This window comes from Homo sapiens, chromosome 7, assembly GCF_000001405.40.
Source record: "Homo sapiens chromosome 7, GRCh38.p14 Primary Assembly".
Taxonomy (NCBI): domain Eukaryota; kingdom Metazoa; phylum Chordata; class Mammalia; order Primates; family Hominidae; genus Homo; species Homo sapiens.
Window position 1 is genome coordinate 65,854,369 of NC_000007.14, and position 16,112 is coordinate 65,870,480.

The following is a 16,112-nucleotide window of genomic DNA, read 5'->3' on the forward strand; positions in this document are numbered from 1 at the left end:
GGAGTCTTCTTTTGTTTTCCCTGACTTTTGTCACCAGATCTGCTTACTTACAAGTCCTGTTGGTTTTGCCCCTCCCAGCCTTTCCCGTCTTCCTCCTTTTTATCTTGGTCATTATTTCAACCCAGCTAGAATCATATCTGGCCCAGATTACTGCATTAGTTCCTAGTTGGAGTCCTTTAAACTATCTTTTTTAAACAAAGATGGCTGAACAGGTGGCTCCTGCCTGTAATCCAAGCACTTTGGGAAGCTGAGGCAGGAGGATCACTTGAGGCCAAGAGTTCAAGACAAGCCTGGGCATCAGAGTGAGACCCCCATCTCTACAAAAAAAAAATTAAAATTAGCTGGGTAAAGGAAATAATGTATACAGTGGTCCATTTCCAAGACAAAGTGCCTTAAATCAGATTAGGTCAGCAAACTACAGAAGAAACAGGGTATACACGGCTCAGCATGGTGACTCACGCCTGCAATCCCAGCACTTTGGGAGGCCAAGGCGGGTGGATCATGAGGTCAGGAGATCAAGACCATCCTGGCTAACACGGTGAAACCCCGTATCTACTAAAAATACAAAGAAAAATAGCTGGGCGTGGTGGCGGGCGCATGTAATCCAAGCTACTCAGTAGGCTGAGGGAGGAGAATGGCAAGAACCTGGGAGGCAGAGGTTGCAGTGAGTCGAGATTGCGCCACTGCACTCCCACCTGGGCGACAGAGCAAGACTCCATCTTAAAAAAACAAACAAAAAAGACACCTAAAGCCCCTATCCAACAACCAATAGGTGACATCCAGGAAGATTGTGACCCCATAGTACTCAGCCTATGTATGAGGAAGCGGGAGGGACCTGCACACAAGAGGATAAATTGCTTGTTGAAACTGTTATGAGTGTGCCTGCCTATCAGACACCCAATCCTGCAAGACCATCGTTAAAAGTCTTACTTTCGCTGTTCTCTGGGTATCTGAGTCCATTCTTTGTGTTTGGACAGGTGAGTTTGTTTCTGACACTGGGCATGGTGGTGCAACCTCCACCTCCCAGGTTCAAGTGATTCTCCCTTCTTCAGCCTCCCGAGTAGCTGGGACTACAGGCACCCGCCACCATGCCCAGCTAATTTTTGTATTTTTAGTAAAGGGGTTTCACCGTGTTGGCCATGCTGGTCTTCAGCTCCTGATCTCAGGTGATCTGCCTGCCTCAGGCTCCCAAAGTGCTGGGATTACAGGTGTGAGCCACCGCTCCTGGTCCAGTTGTGAAGTCTTATACAGAGTATCAATCAGTCGATGTTATTCCTGGTTTTGAATGTATTTGTTTTACTTCAAGAGTAAGTTGCTGGGCACGGTTGATCATGCCTCTAATCCCAGCATTTTGGGAGGCTGAGGCAGGTGGATCACTTGAGGTCAGGAGTTTGAGACCAGCCTGGCCAACATGGTAAAATGCTGTCTCTACTAAAAATACAAAAATTAACCAGGCACGGTGGTGGGTGCCTGTAATCCCACCTACTCGGGAGAGTTTGAGGCAGGAGAATCACTTGAACCCAGGAGGCGGAAGTTGCAGTGAGCTGAGATCATGCCACTGCGCTCCAGCCTGGGGGATAGAGTGACACTCTGTCTCCAGGAAAAAAAAAAAGAAGGGAAGTTGTATCTAGAGGAATTAAATGAAATTTGATGCTAAGAGATAAAGGGAGAAAATTGAGAGTGTAAAAAAGCAACATTTAAAGAGTTTAGCTGGTGTTTTTATCAGAAATAGTGTTTCTTGGACTCTTCTCCATTAAAAAAGTGGCCAGGTATAGTGACTCATTCCTGTAATCCTAACAATTTGAGAAGCCAAGGCAGGAGAAATTCTTGAGACCAGGAGATCAAGACCCAGCCTGGGCAACATAGCAAAACTCCATTGCTCCAAAAGGATGTTTTTCAGATTAGCCGAGTGCAGTGGCACACACCTGTAGTCCCAACTACTTGGGAGGCTGAGGTGTGAGGATCACTTGAGCCCAGGAGGCAGAGGTTACAGTGAGCCAAGATCTCACCACTGCACTCCAGCCTGGGTGATAGAGCAAGGCCCTGGCTCTAAAGGAAATTTTAAAGATTGCCCTTGGAATTAAGATTAATATGTATTCCCTGTGATTTCCAGGGTATTAAGAAAAAAAAAAAAGGAGGCAGAAAGACAGAGAAGAAGAAAAAGGAAAATTTGAGCAAGAATGGAAGAAGGGCTGGGTGTGGTGGCTCATGCCTATAATTTCAGCACTTTGGGAGGCCTAGACGGGCGGATCACCTGAGGTCAGGAGTTCGAGACCAGCCTGACCAACATGGCGAAACCCCATCTCTACTAAAAATACAAAAATTAGCAGGGCATGGTGGCGGGCACCTGCAATCCTAGCTACTCGGGCGGCTGAGGCAGGAGAATCACTTGAACACAGGAGGCGGAGGTTGCAGTGAGCTGAGATCATGCCATTGCACTCCAGCCTGGGCGACAGAGCAAGACTGTCTCAAAAAAAAAAAAAAAGTTTTCTGAGCCCGGGTGTAGTGTTTCATGCCTATAATCCCAGCACTTGGGGAGGCTGAGGCAGGCAGATCATTTGAGGTCAGGAGTTTGACACCAGCCTGGCCAACATGGTGAAATCCCATCTCTACTAAAAAATACAAAAATTAGTTGGGCATGGCAGTGAGTGCCTGTAATCCTAGCTGCTTGGGAGGCTGAGGAAGGGAGAATCACTTGAACCCGGGAGGTGGAGGTTGCAGTGAGCCGAGATCGCGCCATTGCTCTCCAGCCTGTGTGACGAGTAAAACTCTGTCTCGAAAAAAAATAAAAATAAGTCAGTAAAATAAATAAAAATACAAAAATTAGCTGGGCATGGTAGTGGGTGCCTGTAATCCCAGCTACTTGGAAGGCTGAGGCAGGAGAATCACTTGAACTCAGGAAATGGGAGGTTGCAGTGAGCCAAGATAGCTCCATTGCACTCCAGCCTGGGCAACAAGAGTGAAACTCCGTCTCAAAAAAAAAATTTAAAAAAAAAAATATATATATAATATATAATATATACTTATATATAATATATATATATATATATATATATAGTGAGAGAGAGACAGAGAAAGTTTACCTCTACTTGATGAGCCAAGTCTCTTCAGTGTGTGAAAAATAAATGCTTTTTTTTCCAGCCACCCCAGACCTCTGGGAAAGGACCCTGGAGCTGTGCCCAAGCATCCCAGCCTTTGCCCTCAATTGCAAACAGAGTGGAGTGTCTCTTAGCTAAGAAGTTTGTGCTGCTCAAGGGTTTGCACAAATACAAAGTTGAGAAATACTCCTTGCTGAAAGGGGTGTAAAAGGCAAAGGACAAACCGGTTGTCCTCTGAAGTGGAGACATTTCTATTCTATGTTGGGCTATGATCTTGGAGAATGCAGGCAAGGAACGAGTTTCGCTGGTTTTTCAGTGAGAGACCCCTTGTAGTAAGAGAGGCTCTTCTCTCTCTACCTGGTGAGTTATTTCACCTCTTTGGTACCCATTTCCTCATGTTTAAACTTAGGAGTGAAACCACACGTCCCCTAAGATCCTTTTCTCTTAGCTGTTCTGTGAGTTAATTAATGAGATTTGTTTTCCCATTAGCATATATCCAAAAAGGTAGTCAGGGTAGGTTTTTCATGTTTCCTGGAACCTTGTAATTGCCCCAAATGAAGTGGGAGTATTTGGAGGAGAAGCCCTTCCTTGCTTCCTTTATTTCATTTTTAGAGACAAAATCTCTCTGTCACCCAGGGTGGAGAGCAATGGTGCAGTCCTGGCTCACTGCAACCTCCAATTCTTGGCCTCAAGTAATCCTCCCATCCCAGCCTCTGGAGTAGCTGGGACAACAGGCTAACACCACCATGCCCAGCTAATTTTTTTTTTTTTTTTTTGAGACCGAGTCTCACTCTGTCGACCAGGCTGGAGTGCAGTGGCGTGATCTCGGCTCACTGCCTCACTACAAGCTCCACCTCCCGGGTTCAGGCCATTCTCCTGTCTCAGCCTCCTGAGTAGCTGGGACTACAGGCACCCGCCACCATGCCCAGCTAATTTTTTGTATTTTTAGTAGAGACAGGGTTTCACCGTGTTAGCCAGGATGGTCTCGATCTCCTGACCTCGTGATCCACCCATCTCGGCCTCCCAAACTGCTGGGATTACAGGCGTGAGCCACCGCACCCGGCCGACCAGCTAATTTTTAAAATTATTTTGTAGAGACAGGGTCTCACTATGTTGCTCAGGCTGGCCTCAAACTCCTGGCCTCAAGTGATCCTTCTGCTGCAGCCTCCCAAAGTGCTGGGATTACAGGCATGAGACATTGTGCCTGGCCCTTCATTGCTTTTTAATTACCTTAATTTTTTGAATATCTTTAGAACTACAGTGGTTTTGTCTTTTGAGGCTAGAGTTGATTTCCATAAATAGTCATTTTGAGCCAGGTCTTTTGAATAAAGTGAGTGGTCAGAGATGAAGCCACAACTTTGGCGAAAACAGTTTCCCAAGGATTATGCCATGAACTCTAAAATGCTGTGTGCCAGTCACTGGGCCACAGTTCACTCCTCTTGCCAAATTCAGAATTGCAAATGAAAACTTTATTTCATTTTATTTTATTTATTTAATTTTTTTAGACAGAGTCTCGCTCTGTCACACAGGCTGGAGTGCAGTGGTGTGATCTCAGCTCACTGCAACCTCCGCCTCCCGGGTTCAAGAGATTCTCCTGCCTCAGCCTCCCATGTAGCTGGGATTACAGGCATGTAATGCCCAGCTAATTTTTGTACTTTATTTATTTATTTATTTATTTATTTATTTATTTATTGAGATGGAGTCTTGCCCTGTCACCCTGGCTGGAGTGCAATGGTGCGATCTCAGCTCACTGCAACCTCCACCTCCTGGGTTCAAGTGATTCTCCCTGCCTCTGACTCCTGAGTAGCTGGGATTACAAGTGCCCACCACCACACCCGGCTAATTTTTGTATTTTTTGTAAAGACAAGGTTTCACCATGTTGGCCAGGCTGGTCTCGAACTCCTGATCTCAAGTGATCCGCCTGCCTTGGCCTCCCAAAGTGCTAGGATTAGAGGCATGAGACACTGCACCCGGCCTAATTTTTGGACTTTTAGTAGATACGGAGTTTCACCATGTTGGTCAGGCTGGTCTCCAACTCCTGACCTCAAATGATCTGCCTGCCTTGGCCTCCCAAAGTGCTAGGATTACAGGCATGAGCCATTGTGCCCAGCTGATTTTTTCTGATATCAAAGGAATCACCAAGGTCTTCCCTTTCTTTTGATTCATTTATTTTCTTGGTTCTGAAATATTTTTTAAAATATGGAATGCTTCATGAATTTGTTTGTCATCCTTTCACAGGGACCATGCTTATCTTCTCCATGTCATGCCACCTTTTGTATATGTGCTGCCGAAGTGAGCACTGGTTCTGGATTGATTGATTGATTTGTTTGTTTGTCTGTTTTTGAGACAGGGTTTCACTGTGTCTTCCAGGCTGGAATACTGTGGTATTATCGTGGCTCACTGCAACCTCTGCTCCCCAGGGCTCAAGCAGTCCTCCTGCCTGGGCCTCCCAAAGTGTTGAGATTACAGGCATGAGCCACTGTGCCCAGCCTGGAATGTTTAACTGCTGACTTTGATGCCTGGTTTTGGTTGTACTAGACACTCCCACTACTTTTTTCTTTAAAAATTACTGGTTTCTTTAGCTCCTTAAAAAGATCTTTGGTGTTTTATATATCAAAATATGTGAGGCCAGGTGTGGTGGCTCATGCCTGTAATCCCAGCATTTGAGGAAGCCAAGGTGGGAGGATCTCTCGAGCCCATGTGTTCAAAACCAGTCTGGACAACATAGTGAGACCCCTGTCTGTATAAGAACTAAAAAATTAGCTGGGCACGATGGTGCACGCATGTAGTCCCAGCTCTTGGAAGGCTGAGGCAGGAAGATCGCTTAAGCCCAAGAGGGTGAGGCTTTAGTGAGCCATGATCATGTCACTGCAGTCCAGCTTGGGTGACAGAGTGAGACCCTGTCTCAAAAAAAAAAGAGTAATAATTGCAGAAACATTTTCTATGCTCCAGATTACTTTAAAAATTAGACCTAATCTTGGCCAGCCATGGTGGCTTATGCCTGTAATCCCAGCACTTTAGGAGACCAAGGCAGGTGGATCACTTGAGGTCAGAAGTTGGAGACCAGTCTGGCCAACATGATGAAAGCCTGTGGGTGAAAGTAAAGTTGGGTGCGGTGGCTCTCCCTGGATTCCTTGATGCTTTTAATACCCTGAGTCCTCTACCCCACTCTGAGCCACACTGACACTTGTGCACCAAGGTGCGTGGTGTGGCCCCAGTGCCCACAGGATCGCTTGTAAGAACTGCTCCTTCAGCCCCCACCTGTGGCCTTTCCTCCAGGGTGAAGTCTGGTTCCTGATGTTCACGCCATGCTCCTTCTCACCAGGGTGCACGGGCATCACTGCCTACAAAACATTTGATTGAAACCTGTTCCTCGTGGGGCCACCTCACCTGTCCAGGATGGCTTTCTCTGAAGTCAGTTCTCCCACCACAGTGGAGGTAAAGAAAATTATGAAAATTGGCCAGGCACGGTGGCTCACGCCTGTAATTCCAGCACTTTGGGAGGCCGAGTGGGGCAGATCACTCAAGGTCAGGAGTTCGAGACCAGCCTGGCCAACATGGCAAAACCTGGTCTCTAATAAAAATACAAAAAATTAGTCAGGCATAGTGGTGTGCGCCTGCAATCCCAGCTTCTCAGTAGGCTGAGTCAGAAGAATTGCTTGAGCCTGGGAGGTAGAGGTTGCAGTGAGCTGAGATCATGTCACTGCACTCCAGCCTGTGCGACAGAGCAAGAGACTCTGCCTCAAAAAAAAAAGAAAAGAAAAGAAAAAGAAAATTATGAACACTCTCTCTTGAATAGATGGGCATCTCCTGAACAGGGAGGTGCTTGAGGGGAGGTCCTGGCAGGTGGCACAGGGAATCCTGGCAGAACAGCAGCTGGGACTTCAGTGTATTCAGTGTCTGGACCACAATGGTTCCCTTTGTCACAAGTATCCATCTACATTCACTGACTTATATGGGGGAACCTGGGGAAAAACCAATGATATGGTTTGGCTGTGTCCCCACCCAAATCGCTTCTTTAATTTTAGCTCCCATAATCCCCACATGTTGTGGCAGGGACCCAGTAGGAGGTAATTGAATCATGGGAGTGCGTTTTTCCCATGCTGTTCTCATTGATAGTGAATAAGTCTCAGGAGATCTGTTAGTTTTATAAAAGGGCAGTTTCCCTGCACATGCTTTCTTGCCTGCCACCATGGAAGATGTGCTTTTGGTCTTCCTTTGCCTTTGGTCACAATTGTGAGGCCTCCCCAGCCATGCTGAACAGAGAGTCCATTAAACCTCTTTCCTTTATAAATTACCCAGTCTCAGGTATGTCTTTGTTAGCAGCGTGAGAACAGACGAATACAATCAACTTCAATAGCTTAAGTAGGTCTAGCCACCACTCCAGAAGAGATACAGGATTATAAACCATGGTGGCATCCACACAGTGCTAACTCAGCATATGTGCAGAGTATATGAACTGTGGGGCTATGGTGGGCTCCACCTAGATTTCTTTCTTTTTTTTTTTTTTTTTTTTTTGAGATAGAGTCTTGCTCTGTTGCCCAGGCTGGAGTGCAGTGGCGTGATCTCAGCTCACACTGCAAGCTCCACCTCCCGGGTTCACGCCATTCTTCTGCCTCAGCCTCCCAAGTAGCTGGGACTACAGGTGCCCGCCACCACGCCCGTCTAATTTTTTGTATTTTTAGTAGAGACGGGGTTTCACTGTGTTAGCCAAGATGGTCTCGATCTTCTGACCTCGTGATCCACCCGCCTCGGCCTCCCAAAGTGCTGGGATTACAAGCATGAGCCATGGCGCCCAGCCCTCCACCTAGATTTCAAAACATGTGTTGAACAGCTGGGCGCCCCAGGCAGAAGTTTGTCACAGAGGTGGAGCTCATGCCTGTAATCCCAGCACTTTGGGAGGCCGAGGAGGGCGGATCACGAGGTCAGGAGATCGAGACCATCCTGGCTAACATGGTGAAACCCCATCTCTCCTAAAAAAAGTACAAAAAATTAGACGGGCATGGTGGCGGGCACCTGTAGTCCCAGCTACTCAGGAGGCTGAGGCAGGAGAATGGCCTGAACCCAGGAGGCGGAGCTTGCAGTGAGCTGAGATATAGCCACTGCACTCCAGCCTGGGCGACAGAGCAAGACTCCATCTCAAAAGAAAAAAAAAAAAACTTAGCTGGGTGTGATGGCGGGCCCCTGTAATCCCAGCTACTCAGGAGGCCAAGGCAGGAGAATCGCTTGAAATCAGGAGGTGGAGGTTGCAGTGAGCCGAAATTGTGCCATTGCACTACAGCCTGGGCAACGAGCGAAACTCCGTCTCAAAAAAAAAAAAAAAGTGGCCAGGCGTGGTGGCTCATGCCTGTAATCCCAGCACTTTGGGAGGCCGAGGCGGGTGGATCACGAGGTCAGGATATTGAAACCATCCTGGCTAACATGGTGAAACCCCGTCTCTACTAAAAATACAAAAAATTAGCTGGGTGTGGTGATGGGAACCTGTAGTCCCAGCTACTCTGGAGGCTGAGGCAGGAGAATGGCGTGAACCCGGGAGGCCGAGCTTGCAGTGAGCCGAGATCGTGCCACTGCACACCAGCCTGGGCGACAGAGTGAGACGCCATCTCAAAAACAAAAACAAAGAAAGAAAATATCTGCCTTATATCTGTCCTACCATTATATTTTGGAGGCACCTTTTTTTTTTTTTTAATTTCACAGGCTCACAGCTGTTGCCTCAGAATGAATTGTGCCGTGGGTCTCACCCATATCTGATTTAGATGAGACTCTGAACTTTAAACTTTTGAGTTGGTCCTGAAACAAATTAAGACTTTTGGAGCTATTGGGATGGAATGAATGTATTTTGCAGGTGAGAAGAACATGAATTTGGGTGGTTGGGGCAGAATGCTATGGTTTGAATGTATCCTCCAAAGTTAATGTGTTGGAAACTTAATCCCCAATGCAACAATGTTGAGCGGTGCAACCTTTAAGAGATAATTAGGTCAGGAAGACTTTGCCTTCAGGAATGGATTAATGTCGTTATTGTGGGAGTGGGGTTCATTATGATGCGAGTGAGTTTCTTATGAAGGATGAGTTCTGCCCCCTTCCTGCTCTCTCTCACCATGTGATACTTTCTGCCATTGTCTGATATAGCAAGAAGGCCCTCACCAGATGTAGCCCCTCTACTCAGACTTCCCAACCTCCAGAACCCTGAGTCAAATAAATTTCTGTTCATTATAAATTACCTGTTATAGCAGCACAGAATGAAGACAAGTGCGTCTGAATTATTCACCCTGGAGAGAAGAAACTGGTTTAAAAAACGCAGATTTTTTAGTGTCTCCCAGAGCTCTGAATCTAAATCTCTGGATATCTAAACCTCTGGACATGTAATTTTTAACAATTTTCCTGGTGATTCTTAAGCACTTCAAATTTGAGAACTGCTGCTCTATACCCAATATCATTTTAACCTGGAAAATATGCACTCACCAACCGTTCAATGTTATTACCTGAGTTTGCCTGATCATAAAGGTCACTAGAGGGCTTAATAAAAAACCAAACACCGAATGTTCTCACTCATAGGTGGGCACTGAACAATGAGAACACATGGACACAGGAAGGGGAGCATCACACACCGGGGCCTGTTGTGGGGTGGGGGGAGGGGGGAGGGATAGCATTAGGAGATATACCTAATGTTAAATGACGAGTTAATGGGTGCAGCACACCAACATGGCACATGTATACATATGTAACAAATCTGCACGTTGTGCACATGTACCCTAAAACTTAAACTGTAATAAAAAAATAGAACTAAGAAGTTACATAGTATAATATGCCATGAAAGTAAATGTATTTAATAAGAGAAGAAATGGAAAATATCAAATAAAGCAATATAATAATTTCAAAAAATATATATATATATTTACATTCTTAGGTCGCTCTGCTGGTGGGAATCATGAATGAAACAAAGCCCAAGAATTTACATTTATTTACTTATTTGCTCTTTTTAAAATGGAGTCTCTGTCACCCAGGCTGAGGTGCAGTTGTGCGATCTCAGCTCACTGCAACCTCCACCTCCTGGGTTCAAATGATTCTCTGGCCTTAGCCTCCTGAGTGGCTGGGATTACAGATGCCCGCCAACATGCCCAACTAATTTTTGTATTTTTAGTAGAGACAGGGTTTCACAATGTTGGCCAGGCTGGTCTCAAACTCCTAACCTCAGGTGATCCACCCAACTTGGCCTCCCAAATTTCTGGGATTCGAGGTGTGAGCCACCATGCCCAGCCAAGAATCTACATTTAAATGCAGTTGTTAAATGTTCTTCTAAGTAACTGTGTACACATTTATCTATTTTGTGGAATTACTGGAAGATAGATCACTTACATTTTGGATAGCTTTAGCCCAGTATGATAATTTTAGTTTTTGAATAGCAGTTTATTTTAAGCCATTGCTTCCAGAAGAATTTAATCTGATCCAATGTTGCATTTTTCTTTCACCCATAGAGACAAGAATGAAGATAATAGCTATAGCATTTATTGAACATTAACTATGTGCCTGTCACCATGTAACTGATTCTCCTCAAACCCTCAGAGGCATGGACCACTGTACTACTGCCATCCCCATTTTATGGAGAAGATACTGAGGCAAAGGGGAGTTAAGTACCTTGCTAGGCACAGGCAGTTATTAACGCGGTAGAGCTGGGATTCCAAACCATTCTTGTAAGCAACGCAACACTGCGTCTCTGGACTTAATCCAGACAAATTTCTCTGATGCTTAAAAGTTGCCTGCATTAAATGCGCTTTTGTGAAATTCCTTCCTTCCTTCCTTCTTTTTTTTTTGTTTTTTTTTTGAGATAGAGTCTCTCTCTGTCACCCAGGCTGGAGTGCAATGGCACAAACTCCGCTTACTGTAACCTCCACCTCCTGGTTCAAGTGATTCTCCTGCCTCAGCCTCCCGAGTAGCTGCAATTATGGGTGCCCACCACTACACCCGGCTAATTTTTGTATTTTTAGTAGAGACAGTGTTTCATCTTGTTGGCCAAGCTGGTCTCAAACTCATGGCCTCAGGTGATCTGCCTGCTTTGGCCTCCCAAAGTGCTGGGATTACTGGCGTGAGCCACCACACCCGGCCAAAATATATTTCTTATATAAAAGAGAAAGTTTTCCTTGTGTTGTGTTCTACTCATGGTTAAAAGGTTCCTAAAATGGGCCTTGTTGTTTTCTCTTCTTCTTCTTCTTCTCTAGAGCAGCTAGAAAGAAAGACACTTGTTCTTAACCCAAAGAGGCCTCTTCTAAAAATGTTTTCTATATTGGTGAGACTAATTAAACTGGAAAAGTTCATCAACTAAATGATGAAACAAGGTAAAGCCTTTTGTTAATTATTTTTGAATAATTTATTCCTGGCCTGCCACCGTGGCTCACGCCTATAATCCCAGCATTTTGGGAGGCTGAGGTGGGAGGATCACGAGGTCAAGAGATCGAGACCATCCTGGCCAACATGGTGAAATCCTGTCTCTACTAAAAGTACAAAAATTAGCTCAGTGTGGTGGCACATGCCTGTAATCCCAGCTACTCGAGGGGCTAAGAAGGGCACTTGAACCTGGGAGGTAGAGGTTGCAGTGAGCTGAGATGGTGCCACTGCACTCTAGCCTGGTGATAGAGTGGGACTCCGTCTCAAAAAAAAAATTATTCCTGGGCTCCGTATGACTTGTTGAGGAATTGCAAGATACTGGGAAGTCTCTAATTAGGGAGTTTTAGAATAAACAGAAGTATAAACATTCATAGGAGTTAGATTTGAAGACAACTGCTTTTAACACACAGACCCACCAGGAAGTGAGCATCTTGGTGGGGGTTATTTATTATGTGTTTTACTTTGAACAGAGAACATGCACGTTCATTAGCTCAAAAGTGTTCTTGTCCTCGCATAGTGAAGGAAATGTGTGCAAGATAAGGATGAATGTGGCATGCAGGGAGATCCAGGCACGGCTGGCATTTGGCTTTGCTGATGGCTGCAATGTGGACTGTGGACTGTGGGCAAATTAACTCACCACTTTTTGAATGGCCTTTAGAGAGGAAATCCTAAAAAGATTCCAGGACCTGCAGCAGCCACACAGGAGATTGAGTATTCAAGGGAATAGAATGCTGGAGAACACAGAGACAGTTAGGTTAACTAAAGAAGATGAAAAATTAGTCTGGGCTCAGTGCTTCATACTTGTAATCCCAACACTGTGGGAGGCTGAGGCAGGAGCATCACTTGAGCCCAAAAGGTTGAGGCTGGCCTGAGTGACATAGTGAGACCCCCATCTCTACAAAAAATAAAAAGAAATCAATTGGGTACGGTGGCATGCACATGCGGTCACAGCTACTCGGGAGGCTGAGGTGGGAGAATTGCTTGAGCCTGGGGAGGTGAGACCCTGTCGAGGAGGAAGAGGAGGAGGGGGAAGAAGAGGAGGAAGAAAAAATAGAAGAAGAGCTGGGTGTGGTGGCTCATGCCTGTAATCCCAGCACTTTCGGAGGCCGAGGTGGGCAGATCATGGTCAACAGATGAAGACCATCCTGGCCAACATCATGAAACCCCATCTCTAATAAAAATACAAAAATTAGCTGGGCGTGGTGGCATGTGCCTGTAGTCCCAGCTACTCAGGAGGTTGAGGCAGGAGAATCACTTGAACCCAGGAAGCAGAGGTTGCAGTGAGCTGAGATTGTGCCACTGCGCTCCAGCCTGGTGACAGAGGGAGACTCCATCACTAAAAAAAGAAAGAAGAAGGAGAAGGAGAAGGAGTAGGAGAAGAAGAAGAAGAAGAAATGGTCTCTGAGCAGCCATGAAGAGTAGGAAGATAACCCAACCTACCTCTCGCTGGGTCTATGGGGAAAATATTGATTAAGGCAGAGCAGGTCTTCAGAGAGAGACTAGGTTTGGTGAGTAAGAGATTCGAAAAGCTAGAAGGGAATGAGGATATTTAAGTTACTCTTATTGCATAATATATAACCCCAAAACTTTGGGTGCTTAAAATCATCTTTTTTTTTTCATGGTTCTGGGAGTTGACTGGGTTCAGGTAGGTGATTTTCACTCGGGGTGTCTCATGCTGTTGCAGTGGCTGGGGCTGGAGTCTTCACAAAGCCTTCTTCAGTCCCATGTCTGGCAACTGATGTTGGCTGTCATCTGAAACCTGTGCTGGGACTGTTGATTGGAACATCAAAATGTGGCCTCTCCCTGTGATCTGGGCTTCCTCACAGCATGGTGGCTGGGTTCAAAGAGCAAGCATCCCAGGAAGACCATGGAGAAAAGGTGTCCCCTTTTATGAGCTACCTTGAATCACTTCTGCCAGTCACAGACCTTCTTGAATTCAAGGGGGAGGAGCACAGACCTGACCTCACCATGGGAGCAATGTTAAAGTTATGTTGAAGAAGAGCACATGCTATTATTATTATTATGTCTTGCTCTGTCACCCAGGCTGGAGTCCAGTTGTGCAATCTCGACTCACTGCAACTTCCACCTCCCAGATTCAAGTGATTCTCCTGCCTCAGCCTCCCGAGTAGCTGGCATTACAGGCACATGCCACCATGCCCAGCTAATTTTTGCACTTTTAGTAGAGATAGGGTTTCCCCATGTTGGCCAGGCTGGTCTCAAACTCCTGACCTCAGGTGATTCACCTGCCTAGGCCTCCCAAAGTGCTGGGATTACAGGTGTCAGCCACCACACCTAGCACATGCTATTAGTAAAAAGTCAGAAAACAGTCAGGTGAGATGGCTCGCACCTGTAACCTTGCACTTTGAGAGGCTGAGGTGGGCAGATAACTGGAGGTCAGGAGTTCGAGACCAGCCTCGGCAACATAATGAGACCCCCATCTCTATACAAATAAAAAATTGAAAGTCAGAAAAAAAAAGATGTTGGTGAGGATTCAGAGAAAAAAGGAACGCTTATACACCGTTGGTGGGAATGTAAATTAGTACAACCATTACAGAAAACAGTAGGGAGATTTCTCAAAAAACTAAAAATAGAACTGCAATCCAACCAGCAATCTCACTACTAGATATCTACCCAAAGGGAAAGAAATCAATATATCAAAAAGTACCTGTACTCATATGTTTATCACAGCACTATTCATAGTAGCAAAGATATGGAATCAACCTAAGTGTCCATCAACAGATGATTGGATAAAGAAAATATGGTACATGTACACCACGGAACATGACCTAGCCACATAAAGAATGAAATCGTGTCTTTTGCATCACTGTGGATAGAACTGGAGGCCATTCTCCTCAGTGAAATAATTCAGAAACAAAGTCAAATACTGAATGTTCTCATACATGGGAGTTAAACAATAGGTACACATGAGGAGCAACAGATATTGGAGACTCCAAAAGATGGGAGGATGGGAGGAGGGTGAGGGGTGAAAATTTCCTATTGAGTACAATGTTCACTATTTGAATCATGGCTACACACAAAGCCCAGACCTCAGCACTCCACAATATATGCATATAGCACTCCACAATATTTGCCCCTGGTCCAGTTGTGAAGTCTCATACAGAGTATCAATCAGTCAATGTTCTCCCTTGGTTTTGAATGTATTTCTTTTACTTCAAGAGTAAGTTGTCAAGTGTGGTGGCTCACACCTGTAATCCCAGCACTTTGGGAGGCCGAGGCGGGCAGATCACTTGAGGTCAGGAGATCAAGACCAGCCTGGCCAACATGATGAAAACCTGTCTTTACTAAAAATACAAAAATTAGCCAGGCATGGTGGCAGGCACCTGTAGTCTCAGCTACTCAAAGGCTGAGGCAGGAGAATCTCTTCAACCTGGCTGATGGAGGTTGCAGTGAGTCAAGATCACACCACTGCACTCCAGCCTGCGTGACAGAGCTAAAAAAAAAATTTATAAAAATAAAACTAAATAAATAAAAATTGTAAAAAAAGCACACGGGATGGCAGAACTTGTTGCAGCCACCTTGGAATATAGAATTTGCCACAGAGGGCAAGTAGAAAAGTATGTCAGAGTTTAAGATTTCAGAAATCTAGCCATCCAAAAGGATCATAAGAGCCATTCCTGTGGCGGCTTTGGGGAGTGGATGCAAAGGTCATCAGAGCTGAGAAAGACGTGGGATGATGAGTCAGGCGAATTGCATGCTCATCCACATGGATGCTGACATCCTCAGGAAAGCAGAAGGACTTCAGATAACAGAGGGCAAAACACGATTTCATTCTTTTTTTTTTTTTTTTTTTTTTTTTTTAGAGACAGGGTCTTTCTCTGTCACCCAGGCTGGAGTGCAGTGGCATGATCATAGCTCACTGTAGCCTTGAACTCCTGGGCTCAAGTAATCCTTCTGCCTTGGCCTCCTGAATAGTTAGGGCTACAGTGTGTGCCACCACGCCTGGCTAATGTTGTATTTTTATTTTTTGTAGAGATGGGGTCTTGCTATGTTGCCCAGGCTGGTTGATAACTCCTGGCCTCAAGCGATTCTCCCACATTGGCCTCCCAAAGCATTGGGATTACAAGCGTGAGCCACTGTGCTCTGCCTCAAAACACTCTTTTAAAAGCTTTTGTTTTTTTTTTTCTGTAGTGGTGAAATAATTAACCTCTGTGGTGAGGACTTCCTTTTTATTTGGGAAAAGATATTTGCTGTGGGCCTATTGTTTCTGCAAAAATACTAGTAGCTAACATTTTTTGAGTGTCCATTCATTCATTCATTCATTCAAAATATATATATGGGGGCCAGACATGGTGGCTCACACCTGTAATCCCAAGGCCAAAGCGGGTGGATCACCTGAGGTCAGGAGTTCGAGACCAGCCTGACCAATATGGTGAAACCCCATCTCTACTAAGTACAGAAAAAAAAAAAAAAAAAAGCCAGGCGTGGTGGTGCATGCCTGTAATCCCAGCTACTTGGGAGGCTGAGGCAGGAGAATCACTTGAACATGGGAGGTGGAGGTTGCAGTGAGTCGAGATTGCATCATTGCCCTCCAGCCTGGGCAACAAGAGCAAAACTCTGTCTCAAATTTAAAAATAAAAATAAAAATAAGTGAGGGCTTATGAGGCATCAAAG

General features: G+C 45.4%; 1 protein-coding gene and 1 pseudogene across 1 annotated transcript in view; one reads left to right on the forward strand and one right to left on the reverse strand.

The window, feature by feature from the left end:
* RNU6-973P (RNA, U6 small nuclear 973, pseudogene) lies at positions 5,292-5,398 on the reverse strand (annotated as a pseudogene).
* The window catches only part of VKORC1L1 (vitamin K epoxide reductase complex subunit 1L1), a 93,787-nt gene continuing 89,078 nt past the window's right edge, over positions 11,404-16,112 (forward strand). The window contains exon 1 of the mRNA XM_011515831.3: positions 11,404-11,431. Coding sequence (XP_011514133.1) covers positions 11,419-11,431 — 13 coding nt within the window. The 5' untranslated portion in view covers positions 11,404-11,418. The remainder of the gene's footprint in view (positions 11,432-16,112) is intronic.